At 46.2% G+C, this 24,079-nt stretch overlaps 1 long non-coding RNA gene across 1 annotated transcript, besides 1 other annotated feature; it reads left to right on the forward strand.

The window, feature by feature from the left end:
• Nucleotides 1-3,927: 3,927 nt before the first annotated feature.
• On the forward strand, nucleotides 3,928-23,842 carry LOC124905186 (uncharacterized). Its single transcript, XR_007068228.1, has 2 exons — nucleotides 3,928-4,051; nucleotides 23,555-23,842. It is a non-coding gene; the product is annotated as an uncharacterized LOC124905186 (long non-coding RNA).
• Nucleotides 8,678-9,340: an enhancer, noted in NCBI's record as "OCT4-NANOG hESC enhancer chrX:48506792-48507454 (GRCh37/hg19 assembly coordinates)". NCBI's record gives its function as "activates a minimal SCP1, AML or CMV promoter by ChIP-STARR-seq in naive H9 embryonic stem cells {active_cell/tissue: H9 hESC(naive)}" and the evidence as "EXISTENCE:reporter gene assay evidence [ECO:0000049][PMID:30033119]".
• Nucleotides 23,843-24,079: the final 237 nt, after the last annotated feature.

The following is a 24,079-nucleotide window of genomic DNA, read 5'->3' on the forward strand; positions in this document are numbered from 1 at the left end:
GGCTCACGCCTATAATCCCAGCACTTTGGGAGGCTGAGGCAGGCTGATCACTTGAGGTCAGGAGTTCCAAGACCAGCCTGGTCAACATGATGAAACCCCGTCTCTACTAAAAATACAAAAACTTAGCCAGGCGTGGTGCCACACGCCTATAGACCCAGCTACTCAGGAGGCTGAGGTGAGAGAATTGCTTGAACCCGGGAGGCAGAGGGTGCAACTCCAGCCTGGGCAACAGAGCGAGACTTCATCTCCTAAATAAATAAATAAATAAATAAATAAATAAATGGCAACCAAATCAGAAAGAAAAAAAACTACCTGTTTACAGATGATAGAATCTTATATCTAGAAAACTCTAAACACTCCACAAAATAACTGTGAGAACTAATAAACAAATTCAGTAAAGTTGCAGGATACAAAATCAACATTAAAAAATCAGTTGTGCCGGGCACGGTGGCTCACACCTGTAATCCCAGCACTTTGGGAGACAGAGGTGGGTGGATCACCTGAGGTCAGGAGCTCGAGACCAGCCTGGACCATATGGCGAAACCCCGTCTCTACTAAAAATATAAAATATTAGCTGGGCTTGGTGCTGAGTGCCTGTAATCCCAGCTCCTCAGGAGGCTGAGCCAGGAGAATCGCTTGAACCCGGGAGGTGGAGGTTGCAGTGAGCCGAGATTGCACCATTGCACTCCAGCCTGGGCAACAAGAGTGAAACTCTGTCTCGAAAAAAAAAGTCAGTTGCATTTCTATACACTAACAATGAACTATCTGGAAGGGAAATTAAGAAAATAATTCCATTTACAATAGCATCAAAAAGAATAAAATACTTAGGAATAAATTTAACCAGACGTGAAAGACATGTACACTGAAAACTATGTAACATTAATTAAAGAAATTGAAGACAATACCAATGAACAGAAAGACATCCTGGGCTTGTGGATTGTTAGACTTAATATAGTTAAAACGTCTATACTACCCAAAGCAGTCTACAGATTCAATGCAATCCCTGTCAAAATCTCAATGACATTTTCTACAGAAATAGAAAAAAATCCAAAAATCCATATGGAACTACAAAAGGCCTCACAGCCAAAACAATCTTGAGAAAGAAGAACAAAAGAGTCATCACACTTTCTGATTTCAAAATCTATTACAAGGCTTCAGTAATTAAAACAGTATGCTACTGGCATAAAAACAGACAGACATAGAAACCAATGAAACAGAATCAAGAGCCCAGAAATAAACCTCACATATATGGCCAACTAATCTTTGACAAAGGTGCTCTGAATACACAAGAGGAAAAGGATAATCTCTTCAACAAATGGTATAGGAAAAATTTGATATCCACATGCAAAATAATGAAATGGACCCTTATCTTACACTACACACAAAAATAATTTGGAATTTATTTTAATTATTCCATTATTTTAATAAAGAAATTTATTTTTAAATAAATGTAAATAAATACATTTTATTTTATTTTATTATTTATTTATTTTTTTGAGACAGATTCTCACTCTGTCGCCTAGGCTGGAATGCAATGGCGTGATCCCGGCTCACTGCAACCTCTGCCTCCCAGGTTCAAGCGATTCTCCTGCCTCAGCCTCCCGAGTAGCTGGGATTACAGGCATGCGCCACCACGCCTGGCTAATTTTTTGTATTTTTAGTAGAGACAGGGTTTCTCCATGTTGGTCAGGCTGGTCTCGAACTACCGACCTTAGGTAATCCTCCCACCTCGGCCTCCGAAAGTGCTGGGATTACAGGCGTGAGCCACTGCGCCCGGCCTACATTTATTTTTAAATAAATGGATTTAAATGTTAAGACCTGAACCTATAAAAATGGGACACCTGCATAGGGCATTAACCATGAGTAGAGCTTGCAGGACTGGAAGTTGCTATGGGTGAGTCAGTGTGTGAGTGGTGAGTGAATGGGAAGGCCTAGGACATTCCTGTACACTACCATGGACTTTATAAATTCTGTACACTTAGGCTACACTACATTTATTTAAAATATTTTTCTTTTTTGGGCCAGGTGAGGTGGCTCACGCCTGTAATCCCAGCGCTTTGGGAGGCCGAGGCAGGCGGATCACCTGAGGTCAGGAGTTCGAGACCAGCCTGACCAACATGGAGAATCCCTGTCTCTACTAAAAATACAAAATTAGCTGAGTGAGGTGACACATACCTGTAATCCCAACTACTTGGGAGGCTGAGGCAGGAGAGTCGCTTGAACCTAGGAGGCAGAGGTTGTGGTGAGCTGAGATCACACCATTGCACTCCAGCCTGGGCAACAAGAGTGAAACTTCGTTTCAAAAAAAAAAAAATTCTTCCTATTTTTTTTTTTTTTTTTTTTGAGACAGAATCTCACTCTGTCTCCCAGGCTGGAGTGAGGTGGCACGATCTGGGCTCACTGCAACCTTCGCCTCCAGGGTTCAAGCGATTCTCCTGCCTCAGCCTCCTGAGTAGCTGGGATTACAGGCACCCGACACCATGTCTGGCTAATGTTTGTATTTTTAGTAGAGACGGGGTTTCACCATGTTGGCCAGGCTGGTCTCTAACTCGTGACCTCAAGCGATCCGTCCGCTTCGGCCTCCCAAAGCGCTGGGATTACAGGTGTGAGCCACTGCACCCGGCTCATTTAAAATATTTTTCTTGGCTGACTCTGGGCACACTACCTATGAGTTAGCCCTGCTTCTCAAGGAGCAGTACCATTCAAAAAATTAAAATTAAAAAAAGAGAGAAAAAGAAATTTAAAAAATTTTCTTTCTTCGATAATAAATTAACCTTTGTTTACTGTAACTTTATGGACTTTTTAGTTTTTAAAAAACTTTTTTACTCTTTTGTAATAACACTTGGTCTAAAATTAAAGACATTGTATAGTTGTACAAAAATATTTTCTTTCTTTATATCCTTATTGTATAAGTTTTTTCTATTTTTAAAAATATTTTACATATTGCTTGAGCCCAGGAGTTTGAGACCAGCCTGGGCAACATGGTGAAACCCCATCCCTACAAAAAATTCGCTGGGCATGGTGGTGCACACCTGTAGTCCCAGCTACTAGGGAGACTGAGGTGGGAGGACTGCTTGAGCCGGGGAGATTGAGGCTACAGTGAGCTGAGATTGCACCACTGCACTCCAGCCTGGGTGAAAGAGTGATACCCTGTCTTCACTCTCTCTCTCTCTCTCTCTCTCTCTCTCTCTCTCTATATATATATATATATATATATAGCTATATATCTAGTATATATATATGCTATATATAGGTATGCTATATATAGTATATATGCTATATAGAGGCATGCTATATATAGTATATATATGCTATATAGAGATATGCTATATATAGTATATATATGCTATATATAGTATATATATGCTATATAGAGATATGCTATATATATAGTATATATATGCTATAGAGAGATAAATATATATATACTATATATATATTTTAACATTTTGAACTTTTTAGTTAAAACTGAGACAAACACACACGTTAGCCTAGGCCTACACAGGGTCAGGATCATCAACATCACTGTCTTCCACCTCTGTATCTTTTCCCACTGGAAGGTCTTCAGGAGCAATGACAGGCATGGAGCTGTCATCTCCTGTAACAATGCCTTCTTCTAGAATGTTTTCTGAAGATCTGCCTAAGGGTGTTTTACAGTTAACCTTTTTGTGTACATAAGAGTACACTCTAAAATAATGATTAAAACTATGGCATAGTAAACACATAAACCAGTAACAGTTGTTTATTATCATCAAATATTATGTACTATACATAACTGTATATGTGATTCAGTATTTTTATTTTATTTTATTCTATTCTATTCTACTCTTATTTTATTATTTTATTGGAAACAAGGTCTCACTCTATCGACAGACTGGAGTGCAGTGGCCCAATCCTAGCTCACTGAAGCCTCAATCTCCTGGGCTCAAGTGATCCTCCCACCTCAGCCTCCTGAGTTGCTGGGATTACAGATGCCTGCCACCGTGCCTCGCTACAGTACTTTTATAGGACTGGCAGCACAGAAGGTTTACACCAGCATCACCACAAACACGTGAGTAATGTGTTGTGCTATGGTTAGATGATAGGAATTTTTTTTTTTTGAGACAGAGTCTCACTCTGTTGCCCAGGCTAGAGTGCAGTGGTGCAATCTTGGCTCACCGCAACCTCTGCCTCCTGGGTTCAAGCGATTCTCCCTGCCTCAGCCTCCTGAGTAGCTGGGATTAAAGGCATGTGCCACCACAGTCGGGTAATTTTTGTATTTTTAGTAGAGATGGGGTTTCGCTATGTTGGCCAGGCTGGTTTTGAACTCCTGACCTCAAGTCATCCACCCACCTTGGCCTCCCAAAGTGCTGGGATTATAGGCGTGAGCCTATAATCTGGCCAGATGATAGGAATTTTTCAACTGTATTATAATCTTATGGGACAACTGTCATATATGTGGTCTGTCATTGACAGAAACATCATCACTTGTTGTATGACTATGGCATGATTCCACTTATATGGGGTATCCAGAGTAGTCAAACTCATAGAAACAAAACACTAGGATGGTGGTTGCCAGGGGCTGAGAGGATGGGGAAATGGGGAGTTGCTGTTCAATGGATATTGCGCCCGGCCAGCCACACCAATTCTTACACCAAGAAGTGATGGAGCACAAGTGCTGATGGGCCTTAACACCATCATAAACATCTTTTGTTTGTCCCGGGGAAGAAATTCCCAACTCCTTCCAAAGGTCTGCCAAAGTCTACCAGTATCCCAAGCTGATTTCCTTATCCCCTCAGCAGATGCTGGAAAGCTGGAAGTCTCCTTCCTTCTCACTCTCCTGCTTGACATCTGCACAGCCATTCTTCTTCCTCCCCTTGCTCCCCTTCCTCCCCTTCTCCTTCTCCTACTTATTGAGACAGAGTCTCGCTCTGTCGCCGAGGCTGGAGTGCAGTGGTGTCATCTCGGCTCACTGCAACCTCTGCCTCCTGGGTTCAAGCAATTCTCTTGCCTCCACCTCCTGAGTAGGTGGGATTACAGGTGTGTGCCACCACAGCAGGCTAATTTTTGTATTTTTAGTAGAGACGGGGTTTCACCATATTGGCCAGGATGGTCTCGAACTCCTGACCTCAGGTGATCTGCCTGTCTTGGCCTCCCAAAGTGCCGGGATTACAGGCATGAGCCACCGGCGCCCGGCCCTTTTTATTATTATATATTATTTTTGAGACTGGGTCTCACTCTGTAATCCAGGCTGGAGGGCAGTGGCGTGATCACAGCTCACTGCAGCCCTGACCTCTTGGGCACAAGCAGTCCTCCCGCGTCAGCCACCCAAAGTGCTGGGTCTACAGGCATGAGCTACTGTGCCCAGTCTACGATTTTTTTAAAATTTATAATTATTTTGTTTATTCAGGCAGTACAACATGATGTTTTGATTTATGTACACATTATAGAGAGTCAAGCTAATTAACACACCCAATACCTCACCAATTTATCATTTTTGTGTGGTGAGAACGTTAAAAATCCATTCTTTCTCCTCTGAAGCTGTAGAGGATGGGGTGTCCCTGCTTTCCTTTTTAACGATAAAATCATGTTTGTTATTTCATAAAATAGTTAGACAGTGAGGCTTTGTTAGTTTGTTTAATGTCCTAACTCGGCAAAATTGAAAGGTGGCAACACTCTGCCCCTCTCCCATGCACCATGCATACACACATATGTTTACAGCTAGGTTTTTTTTGGGGGGGGAGGTAGTATCCATATCATGTATTAATTTTCTTACAATTTATTTTTTCTTTTCTTTCAGTGACGGGGTGTTGCTCTGTCACCCAGGCTGGCGTGCAGTGGTGTGATCATAGCTCACTACAGCCTTGACCTCCCGGCCTCCAGCTATCCTCCCATCTCAGGCTCCCAAGTAGCTGGGAATACAGACATGCACCACCACACCCAGCTAATTTTTCTTTTTCTTTTTCTTTTTTCGTAAAGACAGGATTTCGCCATGTTCGCCAGGCTGGTCTCGAACTCCTAGCCTCAAGCCATCCTCCCAACTTGGCCTCCAAAAGTGCTGGGATTATAGGCAATGAGCCACCATGCCCTGCCTAATTTTCTTACAATTTCAAAATATAAATATCATATCTTAATAATTTATAATGACGTCACCAATATTCTCCCTATTGTCTCAAAAAAGTGGCAACCTTTGCAGAAGGGAGGATCTTCTAAAAGAACAAAATGAAAAAAGATAAGAATTCTAACTTGGGTCTTGCGCCGGGCATTGCCTGAAGCAGACAGCCAGAGGCAATCTTTCAGGAATGGAGTGAGGAAGAAATGGGGAGGGAGAGGTAAGCCTGGGGGTTCTGTGGGCAGCAGGAATCTTCAGCTGCTGGGAGGTAAGGGGACTTCTAAGAAAGTGGATGTCCTCTGTTTGACTTTGTTATATTTTCTGCTGTGTGGCCCGGGCTTGTCAGCTTGTCATCTTTCTCCCTTGGCCCTATAAACACAGAGAAACAGAGAAAAGAACAAGAATTCTGGGGACAGTGGAATTAGAACCAGAGGTGACCAAAGGGACATATTATCCAGGTGGTAACTGCCGGAAGTAGATGTTCTTTAACAGTTTAAAAAGTGATGATGAGGCCAGGCACAGTAGCTCGCGCCTCTAACCCCAGCACTTTGGGAGGCCGAGGTGGGTGGATCACCTGAGGTCAGGAGTTCAAGACCAGCCTGGCCAGCATGGTGAAACCCTGTCTCTACTAAAAATACAAAAAATTAGCCAGGCATGGTGGCATGTGCCTGTAATTCCAGCTACTTGGAAGGCTGAGGCAGGAGAATCACTTGAACCTGGGAGGCAGAGGTTGCAGTGAGCCGAGATCGCACCACTGCACTCCAGCCTGGGCAACAGAGTGAGACTCCGTCTCAAGAAAAAAAAAGTGATGATGATGATGACAGAAAGAATACAATGTAGAAAAGCTTAGACCCTTGGCTAATGGGGCTTTGTTTAACCACATAGGATTTAATCCCAACCACTTCTGCCAAAATTTTGTTCTCTAGAGGCCCTATTCTTTGCTTTCTTTATTATTATTATTATTATTATTATTATATTATTTTTTTTAGAGTTGAGGAGTCTGGTTCTGTCACCCAGGCTGGAGTGCAGTGGTGTGATCTTGGCTCACTGCAACCTCTGCCTCCCAGGTTCAAGCAATTCTCCTGCCTCAGCCTCCTGAGTAGCTGAGATTACAGGCGTGTGCCACCACGACTGGCTGATTTTTGTATATTTATTTATTTATTTATTTATTTTCTGAGACCGAGTCTTGCTTTGTTGTCCAGGCTGGAGTGCAGTGGTGCGATCTTGGCTCACTGCAACCTCTGCCTCCCAGGTTCAAGCAATTCTCCTGCCTCAGCCTCCCAAGTAGCTGGGATTACAGGCACCCACCACCGTGCCTGGCTAATTTTTGTATTTTTAGTAGAGACGGGGTTTTACCATGTTGGCCAGGCTGGTCTTGAACTCCTGACCTCAGGTGATCCACCCACCTCGGCCTCCCGAAGTGCTGGGATTACAGATGTGAGCCTCTGCGCCCGGCCAATTTTTGTATTTTTAGTAGAGACGGGGTTTCACACTGTTTTTCCCAAAGTGCTAGGATTACAGGTGTGAGCCACCTCACCTGGCCCCATTCTTTTGCTTTCTACCCTTTCTTAACCCTGTTCCCAAAATGTATGCGTCTGTGGCTGGAATATGTTAAAGGGAAGTAGCTTTCCACCTCTGTATTGGTTCATTCTGACTCTGCTTTTTCTTGCACCTGTGCTCTTCTTTTTAAAATGTTTTTGAGTGTTTTTATTTAACACTAATACACATTGGGTTTGGCCAAATAGATGTCTTTTCATCCCTGTGCCCCTCTGCAATGATACATTTCTGGAGAGGAGAGGCCAGGCAGGTTTCATTATCCTTACACATTACCTGGCAAGCTGCCATGTGCAACAGGTATTTAATACATATTTTTTGAAAAACAATCTCTCATGTCTTTGGAATCATTGGGAACTACAACCAAGTGAAGGCAGTAGAAGTTGGTGGCTGATGAAGTGCCTACAATGCATGCTATTTCTATAGGGAAGATTCCAAACGTACGTCAATTGTTAGTAAAGGAATTGATAGAGGCCAGGCATGGTGGCTCATGCCTGTAATCCCAGCACTTTGGGAGGCCGGGGCAGGCGAATTGCTTGAGCCCAGGGGTTCAAGATGTAGCCTGGGCAACATTGTGAGATTCCGTCTCTACTAAAAATACAAAAATTAGCCACATGTGGTGGCTCACACCTGTAGTCTCAGCTACTTGGGAGGCTGAAGTGGAAGGATCGCCTGATTCCAGGAGTTCAAGACCACGCTGGGCAACATAGGGAGACCTCGTCACTACCAAAAATAAAAAAAATTATCTGGGCGTGGTGGCTCATGCCTGTGGTCCCAGCTACTTAGGAGGCTGAGGTGGGAGGATTGCCTGAGCCAAGGAGGTCGAGGCTGCAGTGAGCTGAGATCATGCCACTGCACTCCAGCCTGGGTGACAGAATGAAAGCCTGTCCCCCAAAAAATAAAATAATGAAATCATGAGCTAAACCAAGTACAAAATTAATAAATAAAAAGATTAAAAATAAAAATAAAATAAAGGAATGGATAGAAGGGATGAATTGTCAACAAGATCCCGATATGTTTTCCCTTCTGATTTCAAGTATCTAATTCAGTTATTCATTTTACCCTGAGGGTGGCAGCAGGAGTCTCTTCTATCGCCCAAGCGTTGCCAAGAGGCAACTTTTAGGTCACTCTGACATGAGCTAACAGATGCAGTTTCTGGTTAGAGAGCTTGGACAGATCCATGCCATTTCCTCTCCCTTACAAGGTTGGGGGGAAAGGCTGCGTGCGGCCTCAGGAAACCCTGGGGAGCAGCAGGGATCCTCCCCAGCTGTCGCCCAATTAGAAAGCCAGTGATTTAACAGAAGGCCAAGAAGACTCACAGGGCCAGGCCTGGGGTTCTCTTTGTTCCACCTTTTTTCCCATGCTGAGAAATGAAAGAGAAAAACATTGCATGACAAGAATTAATGGTGTCAAACAAATAGCATCAAAGACAATTTAAGTATTGCTCTTCTCTCTCGGAAATGGATGAAGACAAAGAGTAGTGGCTTCCTTTTTACCCATTAACTGCTCTACATTTGGAAAGAGCTGGTGGACAGTGTTTTCATACTGTATCCATTCAGCTTGATGCTTACAAATGTACAGTTCAGAAATTTTTCAAGGAAACAGTTTGCTACAAAGCACATAGTTTCCTCTGATCATAACCATGACCTCGTTTATAATCATAATCTTGTTTATAATCTCAGGATGCCAACATGCCCAAAATGACTTTGGAATCATTGTTTTAAAATTTCATCTTTTTTTAAGACTTTATTTTTTAGAGCAGTTTTAGGTTCATGGCAAAATTGAGCAGAAAGTGCAGAAATTTCCCAGATAACTCCTGCCCCTACACACCCACAACCTCTGTCACTATCACCACCCCTAACCAGAGCTGTACAGTTGTTGCAATTGATGAACCTGCAATTGACGCATCATCATCACCCAAAGTCCATAGTTTACATTATGACTCACTCGTGTTGTATATTTTATGGGTTTTGACAAAGATACAAGGACACATATCCATCATTGCAGTATCATGCAGAGTAGTTTCACTGCCCTAAAAATCCTCTGTGCTCCACTTATTCATCTCTCCTTCCCCTCAACTCCTGTAAACCACTAATCTTTTTACTGCCTCCTTAGTTTTGCCTTTTCCGGAATGTCATATAGTTGGAATCATACAGTATGTAGCCTTTTCAGATTGGCTTCTTTCACTTAGTATATCAGTCTGTTCTCATGCTGCTTATAAAGACATACCCAAGACTGGGTAATTTATAAAGAGGTTTAACGGAGTCACAGTTCCACGTGGCTGGGGAGGCCTCACAATAATGGTGGAAGGTAAAAGGCATGTTTTACATGGTGGCAGATAAAAGAGAATGTGGACCAAGCAAAAGGGTTTTCCCCTTATGAAACCATCAGATTTTGTGAGACTTATTCACTACCATGAGAACAATATGAGGGAAACTGCCCCCCATGATTCAGTTATCTCCCACTGGGTCTCTCCCACAACGCGTGGGAATTATGGGAGCTATAATTCAAGATGAGATTTGGGTGGGGACACAGCCAAACCTATCACTTAGTAATATGCATTTAAGTTTCCTCCATTTTTTTTTTTTTTTCTGAGACAGAGTCTCGCTCTGTCACCCAGGCTGGAGTGCAGTGGCGCGATCTCGGCTCTCTGCAACCTCCGCCTCCCGGGTTCAAGTGATTCTCCTGCCTCAGCTTCCTGAGTAGCTGGGATTACAGGCGTGTGCCACCACGCCCAGCTCATTTTTAGTAGAGATGGGGTTTCACCATGTTGGCCAGGCTGGTCTCAAACTCCTGACCTCAAGTGATCCACCTGCCTCCGCTTCCCAAAGTGCTAGGATTACAGGCATGAGCCACCGCGCCTGGCCTCTTCCATGTCTTTTTATGGCTTGGTAGCTCAGTTCTTTTTCTCACTGCATAATATTCCACTATCTGGATGTACCAGTTTATTTATCCACTCACCTACCAAAGGACATTTTGGTTGCTTCCATGTTTTTGCAATTATGAATAAAGCTGCTATAAACATTCCTGTGTGTAGATTTACGTGGGGACATAAGTTTTCAAGTCATTTGGGTAAATATCAAGGAATGCAATTACTGGATGGTATAGTAAGAGTATGTTTAGTTTTGTAAGAAGCCGCCAAACTGTCTTCCAAAGTGGCTGTGCCATTTTGCATTCTCATGAATGAGAGTTTCTGTTGCTCCACATCCTCGACAGCATTTGGTGTTGTCAGTGTGTTGTTTTCACCATTCTAATAGGTGTGTAGTGGCATCTCACTGTTGTTTTATTTTATTTTTTATTTTTTTAATTTTGAGACAGGGTTTCACTCTCGTTGCCCAGGCTGGAGTGCAATGGCGCGATCTTGACTCACCGCAACTTCCGCCTCCCAGGTTCAAGCAATTCTCCTGCCTCAGCCTCCCTAGTAGCTGGGATTACAGGCATGTGCCACCACGCCCAGCTAATTTTGTATTTTTAGTAGAGACGGGGTTTCTCCATGTTGGTCAGGCTGGTCTTGAACTCCTGACCTCAGGTGATCCGCCCGCCTTGGTCTCCCAAAGTGCTGGGATGACAGGCATGAGCCACTGCGCCCAGCCTAACTGTTGTTTTAATTTGCAAGTCTCTAATGACATATGATGTTGGGCATCTTCATATGCTTATTTGCCATCTGTCCACCTTCTTTGGTGAGGTGTCTATTCAGGTCTTTTGCCCATTTTTTAATCAGGTTGTTCATTTTCTTACCGTTGAGTTTTAAGAGCTCTTTGCAATTTTGGATAATAGTCATTTATCAGACACCTCTTTTGCAAATATTGTGGCTTGTCATTTCATTCACGTTTGTGGGGAGGGGGGAACGGAGTCTCACTCTGTCACCCAGGCTGGAGTGCAGTGGTGCAATCTCGGCTCACTGCAACCTCTGCCTCCTGGGTTCAAGCAATTCTCCTGCCTCAACCTCCAAGTAGCTGGGATTACAGGTGCACACTACCACACCTGGCTATCATCTCATTCTCTTGATCATCCTTTTTTCTTAAATTAAAAAGTGAGCAATTTCTTTGCAGTCAGAACAACATTTCTGTTGGCAGTGTGTGGTGGTAAAGAGGGGGACTCTGGAGTTAGCTTGGATTTGAATTCCAGTTCTGCCACTTATTAGCTGTGCCAGTTACTGAATGTCTCTGTGCTGCACTTTCCTCATCTTTAAAATGGGTATATGAGCTGGGCGTGGTGGCTCATGCCTGTAATCCCAGCACTCTGAGAGGCAGAGGTGGGTGGATTGCTTGAGGTCAGGAGTTCAAGACCAGCCTGGGCAACACGGCAAAATCCCGTCTCTACAAAAAATACAAAAATTAGCTGAGTGTGGTGGTGCACACCTGTAGTCTCAGCTACTTGGGGGACTGAGGTGGGAAGATCGCTTGGGCCCAGGAGGAGGAGGCTGCAGTGAGTGGAGATCGTGCCATTGCACTCCAGCCTGGGCGAGAGAGTGAGACTCTGTCTCCAAATTAAATAAAACAAGATGGAGATAAACCCGTACTCATAGGGTTGCTGTGAAAATTAGGTCAATTAATATAATTAGTATAAGAGATTTAAAACAGTTTCTGCAATATTTATTATTAAATTATTTGATTAGAACAAAAGATATAGTTTGCACAGTGGCAGAGACATGCATGAAAAGCAATGGTAGACATTTCTGACATGAAGGGCATGCCTTGGCAGCCTTTTAAGATCATTCTCCACTGAGCAGCAGCAGTTTCGTTTTAGAAGTCACATCAAAGCTACTTTGGCTTTTGCAAGGCGATTTCTGTGCATTATGCACAGAATGACATACCAACCTAAGAAAATTGATCTACTAGCAATTAGTGAGATGGAGCAGGAGAAGGAGCTAGCTTGCTATGGAAAAAGTGACAAAGAGATGGACTGAGTTGAGACACTTAGAGGTCTCTGACACTAACTGGCTGCCTCACTTTGTACAAATCACTTTATTCATCTGTTTCAGGCTTCCACTTGGTTTTGTTTTGTTTTTTGAGATAAGAGTCTTGCTCTGTCATCCAGGCTGGAGTGCAATGGCGTGATCTCGGCTCACTGCAATCTCTGCCTCCTGGGTTCAAACGATTCTCCTGCCTCAGCCTCCTGAGTAGCTGGAATTACAGGCATGCACCACCAGGCCCAGCTAATTTTTTTTTTTTTTTTAGTAGAGATGGGGTTTCACCATGTTGGCCAGGATGGTCTCGAACTCCTGACCTAAGGTGATCAGCCTGCCTGGGACTCCCAAAGTGCTGGGATTACAGGCGTGAGCTACCACGCCCGGCCCAGGTTTCCACTTTTGTTATGAAGGTGTTACAGTTATCAGGGCTGGGGATGGATATGCACATTAATCGTGTTTTTTAATTTTCTGTATTTCATGATGCTTTGACATCTTGGGGCCTTGCTAATCTTGGAGAGACTGTCCCTCCCAGGGCTAACTAATTCCTACAGAACTTGACTCTGAGCATGCTTTTGATATGCAAACCAACAATCATGAGACCATACCCAAACCACCTCCTTTTTCTAACTCTCACACACCAGCCAATATTCCCCCTCCAGGGCCAGGTACTGAACAACTAGGGGCCACCCTGTAGCCCACCAAAATCATTCAAACTATCCAGTCCTAAGGTTTCTCAGCTTGCCAATCCTGTCTCATCCATTCCTTCCCATAAAACCTACAATAAAGGCTCTGGGCCCATGCTTTCTCCTCACTCCTGACTCCTGACTGACCCTGGTGCCTCCCATGTGGCCCTTGCATGGCCATGGCTTGGCAAGCCCCCTCCTCTTGAGAACTGTGAGTAACAAACTATCTTTTCAATGGCAGTTGCCTTGTGATCTGCTGGGCTCACCATACCTCAATTTTTAAAGATTCTTGGTTATATTTTAAAACAATCTAACCCCAGGTGCTAACTCTGGTGGCTGCTTAATAGCTGTCCCAAGTGAGGGATGAGAAAAATCTTCAGGTTGAGTCAAAATATCAATGTCTGCCCTGAGCATGGGTTGTGAGGAATAAAGATGTGAGAGAAAGGGTTTGTCCTCCCTGACACAGATGATCTCTAGGGGCCCTTGCAGCTCTAATATCTAAGCATTTTAGAAAGTATTTTAAGGCCAGGCACAGTAGCTCATGCCTATAATCCCAGCACCTTGGGAGGCTGAGGTGGGCAGATCACTTGAGGTCGGGAGTTCGAGACCAGCCTGGGCAACATGGCAAAACCCCCATCTCTACTAAAAATACAAAAATTAGCCAGGCATGGTGCCACATGCCTGTAATCCCAGCTACTCGGGTGGCTGAGGCAGGAGAATCTCTTGAACCCAGGAGGTGGAGGCTGCAGTGAACTGAGATCACACCACTGCACTCCAGCCTGGGCAACAAAGCAAGACTCTGTCTCAAAAAAAAAAAAAAAAGAAAGAAAGGAAGAAGAGGAACAGGAGGGAGGAGGAGGGATCTGAGCTAGCACGCTCAGCCCCTTGCCAAGTGATACCCTGCACTGTCTCAGGACTCTTCAGAGTCCTCACCAGCAAAAAGTCCCCCACCAGATGCAGCCCCTTGACCTTAGACTTCTCAGCCCCCACAACTGTAAGAAAGAAATTCATTTCCTTTAAAATTACCCAGTTTCAGGTATTCTGTTATAAGCAACAGAAACTGGACTAAGACAGGAAAACACAAACATTCAGTCCATTGCCTTCCAACACCTGCCTGCCCCCGACAATTCATGTGCTTCTCACATGCAAACTACATTCAATTCCATCCAAACATCCCCCCAAATCTTAACTCATTCCAGTATGAACTCTAAAGTCTAAAGCCAAAAGTCTCATCTAAAGATCATCTAAATCAGGTATGGGTGAAACTCACCCTGAAGCAAAATTCCTCTTCAGCTGCTTAAAAGAAACCAAAGTATTTGCTTCCAAAATACAATGATGGGACACAAAGAGGGTCTATAAACATTCCCATTCCAAAAGGGAGAAACAGGGAAGGAGGACGGGGTGACAAGTCCCAAGCAAGTCCAAAACCTAGCAAGGGAAGTTCTGTGAGATCTTGAGACTCAGGTAATCCTCTTTGGCTTGAAGCTTTGCCTCCAGACCTACTGGGGTGTCAGTCCCTCATGCCAGACCCACTGAGGGGGCAATGTCACCCTCACAGTGAGAGACAGGACTAGCTGGATTTCCTAGGCTGACTAAGAATCCCTAAGCCTAGGTGGGAAGGTGACCGCAATCCACCTTTAAACACGGGGCTTGCAACTTAGCTCACACCCGACCAATCAGGGAGTAAAGAGAGCTCACTAAAATGCTAATTAGGCAAAAACAGGAGGTAAAGAAATAGCTAATCATCTATCACCTGAGAGCACAGCGGGAGGGACAATGATAGGGATATAAACCCAGGCATTCGAGCCCGCAACGGCTACCCTCTTTGGGTCTCCTCCCTTTGTATGGGAGCTCTGTTTTCACTCTATTAAATCTTGCAGCTGCACTCTCTTCTGGTCCGTGTTTGTTACGGCTCGAGCTGAGCTTTCACTTGCAGTCCACCACTGCTGTTTGCCGCCGTCGCAGACCCGCCATTGACTTCCATCCCTCCAGATCCGGCAGGGTGTCCGCTGTGCTCCTGATCCAGCAAGCCGTCCACTGCTGCTCCCGATCGGGCTAAAGGCTTGCCATTGTTCCTGCATGGCTAAGTGCCTGTGTTTGTCCTAATCGAGCTGAACACTAGTCACTGGGTTCCACGGTTCTCTTCCGTGACCCACGGCTTTTAATAGAGCTATAACACTCACGCATGGCCCAAGACTCCATTCCTTGGAATCCGTGAGGCCAAGAACCCCAGGTCAGAGAACCCGAGGCTTGCCACCATCTTGGAAGCAGCCCACCACCATCTTGGGAGCTCTGGAAGCAAGGACCCCCACCCCCCGGCCCGGTAACAACAGTTTGGCAGCACTCACTGCTCATGCTGTGGTTGTCAGGGCAGGAGTTGTAGCCTCAGGGCTCTGCTGGGAGCCTCCATCCCCACCGCTCTACTGGGCATTGGTCTCACCCTTTGAAATGGAGGTGGAGGCTGGGAGTGGTGGCTCACACCTGTAATCCCAGCACTTTGGGAGGCCAGGACAGGCCAGTCACAAGGTCAGGAGATCGAGACCATCCTGGCTAACAGGGTGAAACCCCGTCTCTACTAAAAATACAAAAAATTAGCTGGGCGTGGTGGTGGGCGCCTGTAGTCCCAGCTACTTGGGAGGCTGAGGTGGGAGAATGGCATGAACCTGGGAGGCGGAGTTTGCAGTGAGCCAAGATTGTGCCACTGCACTCCAGCCTGGATGACAGAGCGAGACTCTGTCTCAAAAAAAAAAAAAAAAAAGAAATGGAGGTGCAGGTAGTCCTATGCCCTAAGCCCATGTACTCTGGGCCTCTGATGGGACTGGTGACCTGGACGGTCTCTGAATCACCTTCAGGGTTCTTCTTCCCTTATCTTGAAGAACAGTGTGTGTTCACAGCCGAATAGTTCTATGGTTTGGTCCTATAGGATCTAAGAAGTTTAATCATCTTCCTTCATTTTGTCCCATTTTCTTTTTTTCTTTTTCTTTTTTTTTTTTGAGACAGAGTCTCCCTCTGTTGCCCAGCACCCAGGCTGGAGTGCAGTGGTGCAATCTCAGCTCACTGCAACCTCCGCCTCCTGGGTTCAAGTGATTCTCCTGCCTCAGCCTCCCAAGTAGCTGGGATTACAGGCGTGCACCACCGCACCCGGCTAATTTTTGTATTTTCAGTAGAGACAGGGTTTCACCATGTTGGTGAGGCTGGTCTTGAACTCCTGATCTCAGGTGATCCACCCGCCTCAGCATCCCAAAGTGTTGGGATTACAGGCATGAGCCACTGTGCCCAGCCATTTTGTCCCATTTTCTCTGTTTCCTTTAGTCCCAGTCAGCAGTGCCATTTCCAGTACAATCCCATCGCTATTGCTGTTTTGTTGAGATGGTTAATGAAGTCCACAGTTCACATTCACAGTAATCTCCTTGTCAAATAGTCCAGCAGATCCTTAGTGTTCTCTTCCAAACATGCTTTGTCATGTTTTGTAATATGGACAGGGACAGGCTGAGAATTTTCCAGACCCACTGAGGGAGCAATGTCACCCTCATAGCTTGGGTAAGTTTAAGTTCTGGTTCCTTTTTGCATAACAATTCTGTTTTCAATTCATATCTCTCTTCTCAAATTTGACTATAAGCAGTCAGGAGGAACCAAGCCTCTCCTTTCAACACTTTGCTTAGAGATCTCCTCAGCTAAATCTCCATTTCACTGTTCACAAGTCCTACCCTCTACAAAACACTAAAACGTAAACACAATTCAGCCAGGTTCTTTGCTACTTTATAACAAGGATCACCTTTTCTCCACTGTCCAATAACACGTTCCTCATTTCTACCTGAGACCACATCAGAACAGCCTTTAACCACCCATATTTCTACCACCAATCTGTTCATGATTACTTATGTATTCTTTAAGAAAGCAGAAGCTTTCTCTACAGCTCTCCTCATTTCTTTCTGACTGCTCATCAGAATCACCTTTAAAGGTCCATTCAATGGCAATATAGGATTTTTCTTTTTTTCCTTTTTCTTTTTTTTAGATGGAGTCTTGCTCTGTTGCCCAGGCTGGAGTGCAGTGGCGCAATCTTGGCTCACTGCAACCTCCACCTCCCTGGTTCAAGCAATTCTCCTGCCTCAGCCTCCTGAGTAGCTGAGATTACAGGTGTGCGCCACCACGCCCGGCTAATTTTTTTTTTTTTTTTTGTATTTTTAGTGGAGATGGGGTTTCACCGTGGTGGTCAAGTTGGTCTCAAACTCCTGACCTCATAATCCATCCACCTCGGCCTCCCAAAGTGCTGGGATTACAGGTGTGAGCCACCGCACCTGGTGGCAATATAGGATTTTTCTAGCGCATGCACCCAAATTTATGTCTTAGTCTGTTTTCTGTTGCTATAACAGAATACCACAGACCAGGTAATTTATAAAGAAAAGAAGCTCAGCCAGGTGCAGTGGCTCACACCTATAATCCCAGCACTTTGGGAGGCCAAGGTGGGTGGATCACTTGAGGTCAGGAGTTTGAGACCAGCCTGACTAACATGGTGAAACACCATCTCTACTAAAAATACAAAAATTAGCTGGGCCTGGTGATGAATGCGTGTAATCCCAGCTAGTCGGGAGGCTGAGGCAGGAGTATTGCTTGAACCTGGGAGGCAGAGGTTGCAGTGAGCAGAGATCGTGCCACTGCACTCCAGCCTGGGTGACAGAGTGAGATTCTGTCTCAAAAAAATAAAAAATAAAAATAATTTTAAAAAGAAGCTTAACAAGCTCACAGTTCTGGAGGCTGGGAAGTCTAAGAGCATGGTGCTAGCATCAGATGAGGCCTTCATGCTGCATCATCCCATCATGGGTAGACAGAATGGCAAGAGGGTGCATGCGAGAGACAGCTCACTTTTATAACAAAGCCACTCCCACAATAACAGCATTAGTCCATTCATGAAGGTGACAGCCCCATGACCTAATGTCTTCTTAAAGACCCCACCTCTCAATACTGTTACAATGGCAATTAAAGGTCAACATGAGTTTTGGAGGGAACATTCAAACCATGGCACTCTTCCAGCCTCTAGTCATTACAATTACAAGGCCACTTCCACATTTTTAGGTATTCGTTACATAGCACCCCTCACTTCTCAGTACCAATTTCTGTCTTAGTCAGTTCTGACTGGTATAACAAAGTGCCATAGACTGGGTGGCTTATAAACAACAGAAATTTCTCTCTTAACAGTTCTGGTTGGAAGTCTGACATTACGGTTCCAGCATGGTCAGGTTCTGGTAGGGATGCTGTTTAGGGTTGCTGACAGCTAAATTTTCATTGTATCCTCACATTGTGGAAAGAACTCTCTGGGGTCCCTTTTATTTATTTATTTATGTATTTATATTTTTCTGAGACAGAGTCTCACTCTGTCGTCCAGGCTGGACTGCAGTGGCACCATCTCCATTCACTGCAACCTCCGCCTCCTGGGTTCAAGCGATTCTCCTGCCTCAGCCTCCTGAGTAGCTGGGATTACAGGCAAACACCACTATGCCCAGCTAATTTTTGTATTTTTAGTAGAGACAGGGTTTCGCCATGTTGGCCAGGCTGGTCTTGAACTTCTGGCCTCAGGTGATCCACCTGCTTCGGCCTCCCACAGTGCTGGGATTACAGGCGTGTGCCACTGCGCCCAGCCTGGGGTCCCTTTCATAAGGGCACCAATCCCATTCATGAGGGCTCCACTGTCATGACTTAATCACCTCCCAAAGGTCCCACCTTCTAATACTATCACATTAGGGGTTAGGATATCAACATGTTTGGGGAGACACAAACATTCAGTCTATTGCACAGCCTTTTACCTTCTGCAAATAAAACTGCTTCCAGTATACCCAAAGCTGTACTAAAACCTCTTTTTTTTTTTTTTTTTTTCTGGTTTTCCTAGGCAGAGTATTTGTGTCCCTGGGTACTTGAGATTAGGGAGTGGTGATGACTCTTAAGGAGCATGCTGCCTTCAAGCATCTGTTTAACAAAGCACATCTTGCACCGCCCTTAATCCATTTAACCCTGAGTGGACACAGCACATGTTTCAGAGAGCACAGGGTTGGGGGGTAAGGTCACAGATCAACAGGATCCCAAGGCAGAAGAATTTTTCTTAGTACAGAACAAAATGAAAAGTCTCCCATGTCTACTTCTTTCTACACAGACACAGCAACCATCCGATTTCTCAATCTTTTCCCCACCTTTCCCCCTTTTCTATTCCACAAAACCGCCATTGTCATCATGGCCCGTTCTCAATGAGCTGTTGGGTACACCTCCCAGACGGGGTGGTGGCCGGGCAGAGGGGCTCCTCACTTCCCAGTAGGGGCGGCCGGGCAGAGGCGCCCCTCACCTCCCGGACGGGGCGGCTGGCCGGGCGGGGGGCTGACTCCCCCACCTCCCTCCCGGACGGGGCGGCTGGCCGGGCGGGGGGCTGACCCCCACACCTCCCTCCCGGACGGGGCGGCTGGCCGGGCGGGGGGCTGACCCCCCCACCTCCTTCCCGGCCACCTCCCTCCCGGATGGGGCGGCTGGCCGGGCAGAGGGGCTCCTCACTTCCCAGTAGGGGCGGCCGGGCAGAGGCGCCCCTCACCTCCCGGACAGGGCGGCTGGCCGGGCGGGGGGCTGACCCCCCACCTCCCTCCCGGACGGGACGGCTGGCCGGGCGGGGGGCTGACCCCCCACCTCCCTCCCGGACGGGACGGCTGGCCGGGCGGGGGGCTGACCCCCCCACCTCCCTCCCGGACGGGGTGGCTGCCGGGCGGAGACGCTCCTCACTTCCCAGACGGGGTGGCTGCCGGGCGGAGAGGCTCCTCACTTCTCAGACTGGGCGGCTGCCGGGCGGAGGGGCTCCTCACTTCTCAGACGGGGCGGTTGCCAGGCGGAGGGTCTCCTCAATTCTCAGACGGGGCGGCCGGACAGAGACGCTCCTCACCTCCCAGACGGGGTCGTGGCCGGGCCGAGGCGCTCCTCACATCCCAGACAGGGCGGCGGGGAAGAGGCGCTCCCCCCATCTCAGACAATGGGCGGCCGGGCAGAGACGCTCCTCACTTCCTAGATGGGATGGCGGCCGGGAAGAGGCACTCCTCACTTCCTAGGTGGGAAGGCGGCCGGGCAGAGACGCTCCTCACTTTCCAGACTGGGCAGCCAGGCGGAGAGGCTCCTCACATCCCAGACGATGGGCGGCCAGGCAGAGACGCTCCTCACTTCCCAGACGGGGTGGCGGCCGGGCAGAGGCTGGAATCTCGGCACTTTGGGGGGCCAAGGCAGGCGGCTGGGAGGTGGAGGTTGTAGCGAGCCGAGATCACGCCACTGCACTCCAGCCTGGGCACCATTGAGCACTGAGTTAACGAGACTCCATCTGCAATCCCGGCACCTCGGGAGGCCGAGGCTGACGGATCACTCGCGGTTAGGAGCTGGAGACCAGCCCGGCCAACACAGCGAAACCCCGTCTCCACCAAAAAAATACGAAAACCAGTCAGGCGTGGCGGCGCGCGCCTGCAATCGCAGGCACTGGGCAGGCTGAGGCAGGAGAATCAGGCAGGGAGGTTGCAGTGAGCCGAGATGGCAGCAGCACAGTCCAGCTTCGGCTCGACATGAGAGGGAGACCGTGGAAAGAGAGGGAGACCGAGAGGGAGAGGGAGACTGAGAGGGAGAGGGAGACCGAGAGGGAGAGGGAGACCGAGAGGGAGAGGGAGAGGGAGACCGAGAGGGAGAGGGAGAGGGAGACCGAGAGGGAGAGGGAGAGGGAGAGGGAGAGGGAGAGGGAGAGGGAGAGGAAACCTCTTTCTTTAGCACTATTCATGTTCTCTTCTCCTGGACGTCAGTACCTTAAATAGAGTCATCCTCCCTCATGGACTCCACACTTCTCTCTCTCTCTCTCTCTCTCTGTCTCTCTCTCTCTGAGATAGGGTCTCACTCTGTCACCCAGGCTGGAATGCAGTGGCAAGATCATGGGTCACTGAAACCTCCACCTCCCAGGGCTCAAGTGATCTTCTCACCTCAGCCTCCTGAGTAGCTGGGACTACAGGCATGTGCCACAGTGCCTGGTTAATTTTTGTATTTTTTGCAGAGATGGGGTTTCACTATGTTGCCCAGGTTGATCTCAAATTCCTGGGCTCAAGCAATCTTCCTACCTCGGCCTCCCAAAGTACTGGGATTATAGGCATGAGCCACTGTGCCTAGCCATATATCCTTCTCTCTCTTATCCTACTCCAGTCTGGCTTTGGTCCGCACTTGTTCACTGACATTCCTCTCTGTGACATGATGAGTTCTCTGTGGGCACACTGAGTTTGAGGTGTCAAAGCACATAAAAATGGAAAGGTCTACTAGGCAGTTGTTTATGTGGTCCAACTCTCTTTTGGTTCATATTTGCTTGGTGTATCTTTTTCCATCCCTCTATTTTCAACCTTTCTTTGTGGTTTTATTCTAAGCGTGTTTCCTGTCACAGGTCTGTAGTTGAATTAACAACAACAACAACAAATCCAATCTGATAACCTCTGTTTTCAACAGGCATGTAATCATTTATATTTATTTTGATTACTTATGTATTGGAACTTATTTCTACCATCTTATGTTTGCTGTTTACTACCCCGTTCCCCCTCATCTTTTCCCATTATATGTTAGATGGATAAAGTTTTTGAAATTGCCCCATTACACATTTTATTTTTTCCTTTGCTGGTTCTGAAGTTATAGATGGTATTTCTCCTCATTTAGTGGTTTCCATTAATTTTTAAAGTTCCTGAATCTCATGCTTCCAGTATCAACATGCCTAACCAGCAGGGCCTCCATTAATTTTTAAATATATGTTCTAAATTATAAATTTAAGAGCCAGGCACAGTGGCTCACACCTGTAATCCCAGTGACTTTGAAGGCTGAGTTGGGAGGATCGTTTGAGGCCAGGAGTTTAAGATCAAACTGGGTAACATAGAGAGATCCCATCTATACAAAATTTTTTTTTCAATGAGCCAGGTGTGGTGGCACATGCCTGTAGTCCTAACTACTTGGGAGGTTGAGGTGGGAGGATCCCTTGAGCCCAGGAATTTGAGGCTATAGTGAGCTAGGATTGCAGCACTGCACTCCAGCCTGGATAACAGAGTGAAACAAATAAAAAATAAATACTTATGTTTCTATAAATTTACATACATAGATAAATATTAAAAATATATTAAGCCAGCTATAGTGGCACACACCTGTAGTCCCAGCTACTTGGGAGGCTAAGCTGGCAGGATTTCTTGAGCCCAGGATTTCGAGGCCAGCCTAGGCAACATAATGAGACCCCATTTCTTTAAAAAAAAAAATATATATATATATATATAAATATATATACACACATAAACACACAAACCAATATCCAAAAAATATATCTTTAAAAATGTATTGTCTCAGCCGGACATGGTGGCTCATGCCTGTAATCCCAGCACTTTGGGAGGCCGAGGCAGGTGGATCACAAGGTCAGGAGATCGAGACCACCCTGGCTAACACGGTGAAACCCCGTCTCTACTAAATATAAAAAAAATTAGCCAAGCATGGTGGTGGGCGCCTGTAGTCCCAGCTACTTAGGAGGCTGAGGCAGGAGAATGGCGTGAACCTGGGAGGCGGAGCTTGCAGTGAGCCGAGATCGTGCCACTGCACTCCAGCCTGGGCGACAGAGCGAGACTCCGTCTCAAAAAAAAAAAAAATGTATTGTCTCCAGTTCATCAGTATATGTATTATCTACCTACTCTTAAAAGAATAAAGGCCAGGCGCAGTGGCTCACGCCTGTAATCCCAGCACTTTGGGAGGCCGAGGCAGGTGGATCACGAGGTCAGGAGATTAAGACCATCCTGGCTAGCATGGTGAAACCCCGTCTCTACTAAAAATACAAAAAAATTAGCCAGGCATGGTGACAGATGCCTGTAGTCCCAGCTACTTGGGAGGCTGAGGCAGGAGAATGGCATGAACCTGGGAGGTGGAGCTTGCAGTAAGCCAAGATTTCGCCACTGCACTCCAGCCTCAGTGACAGAGCAAGAGTCCGTTTCAAAAAAAAAAAAAAAGAATAAAGACACAGTGAATCAAGTTCTTTAAAAGCAGAGCCAAGAAGAGTCCTGTGATAGGCAGCTTCTGACATGGCCCCAATGATTTCTGCCTTCTGATATTTACACCCATGTGGAAATCCCTGCACTTGAGTGTGGGCTGAACCTAGTGACCAGCTTCTAATGAACAGAATATGGCAAAAGTGATAGGATGTAGGATGTCACTTCTATGATTAGGCTCCAAAAGATTGTGACTTCTGATGTGCTAGTTCTCTCTCTCTGTCACTATCTCTTGCCCTCTTCTTTGCTCCCTCTGATGAAGCCAGCTGCCACAGTGTGAGCTGCCCTATGGAGAGGCCTCTATAGCAAGAAAGTGAGGCCTTCAGTCCAGCAACCCTCAAGCAACTGAAACCTGCCAACAACCACATGAGTCAGCTTGGAAGTGGATCCATTACCCATCAGGCTTTCAGATGAGACCACAGCCCCGGCTGCCACCTTGATTCCAACTTCATGAGAGATCCAGAGACAGAGAACCTAGCTAATCTGTGACTAGATTCCTGACTCACAGAAACTATGAGATAATAAATGTCTGTTGTTTTAAGCTGCTAAATTCTAGGTAATTTGTTACACATCAATACATGGCTAATACAAAGATTTTTTTTTTCTGTGACAACTTTTTTTATCATATGGAGAGGCAAAGGTGGCACAGACTCTACAATCAGCCAAACGTGGCTGTCTCTTGCCTTGGGCAGGTTATGTAATCCCTGAGCTCAGTCTTCTCACTTGTAAATCTTTTTTGTTTTCTTCCCCTTCCTCCCTCCCTCCCTCCTTCCTTCTTTTTTTTTTT

This window comes from Homo sapiens, chromosome X (genome assembly GCF_000001405.40).
Source record: "Homo sapiens chromosome X, GRCh38.p14 Primary Assembly".
In the NCBI taxonomy this organism is placed as follows: domain Eukaryota; kingdom Metazoa; phylum Chordata; class Mammalia; order Primates; family Hominidae; genus Homo; species Homo sapiens.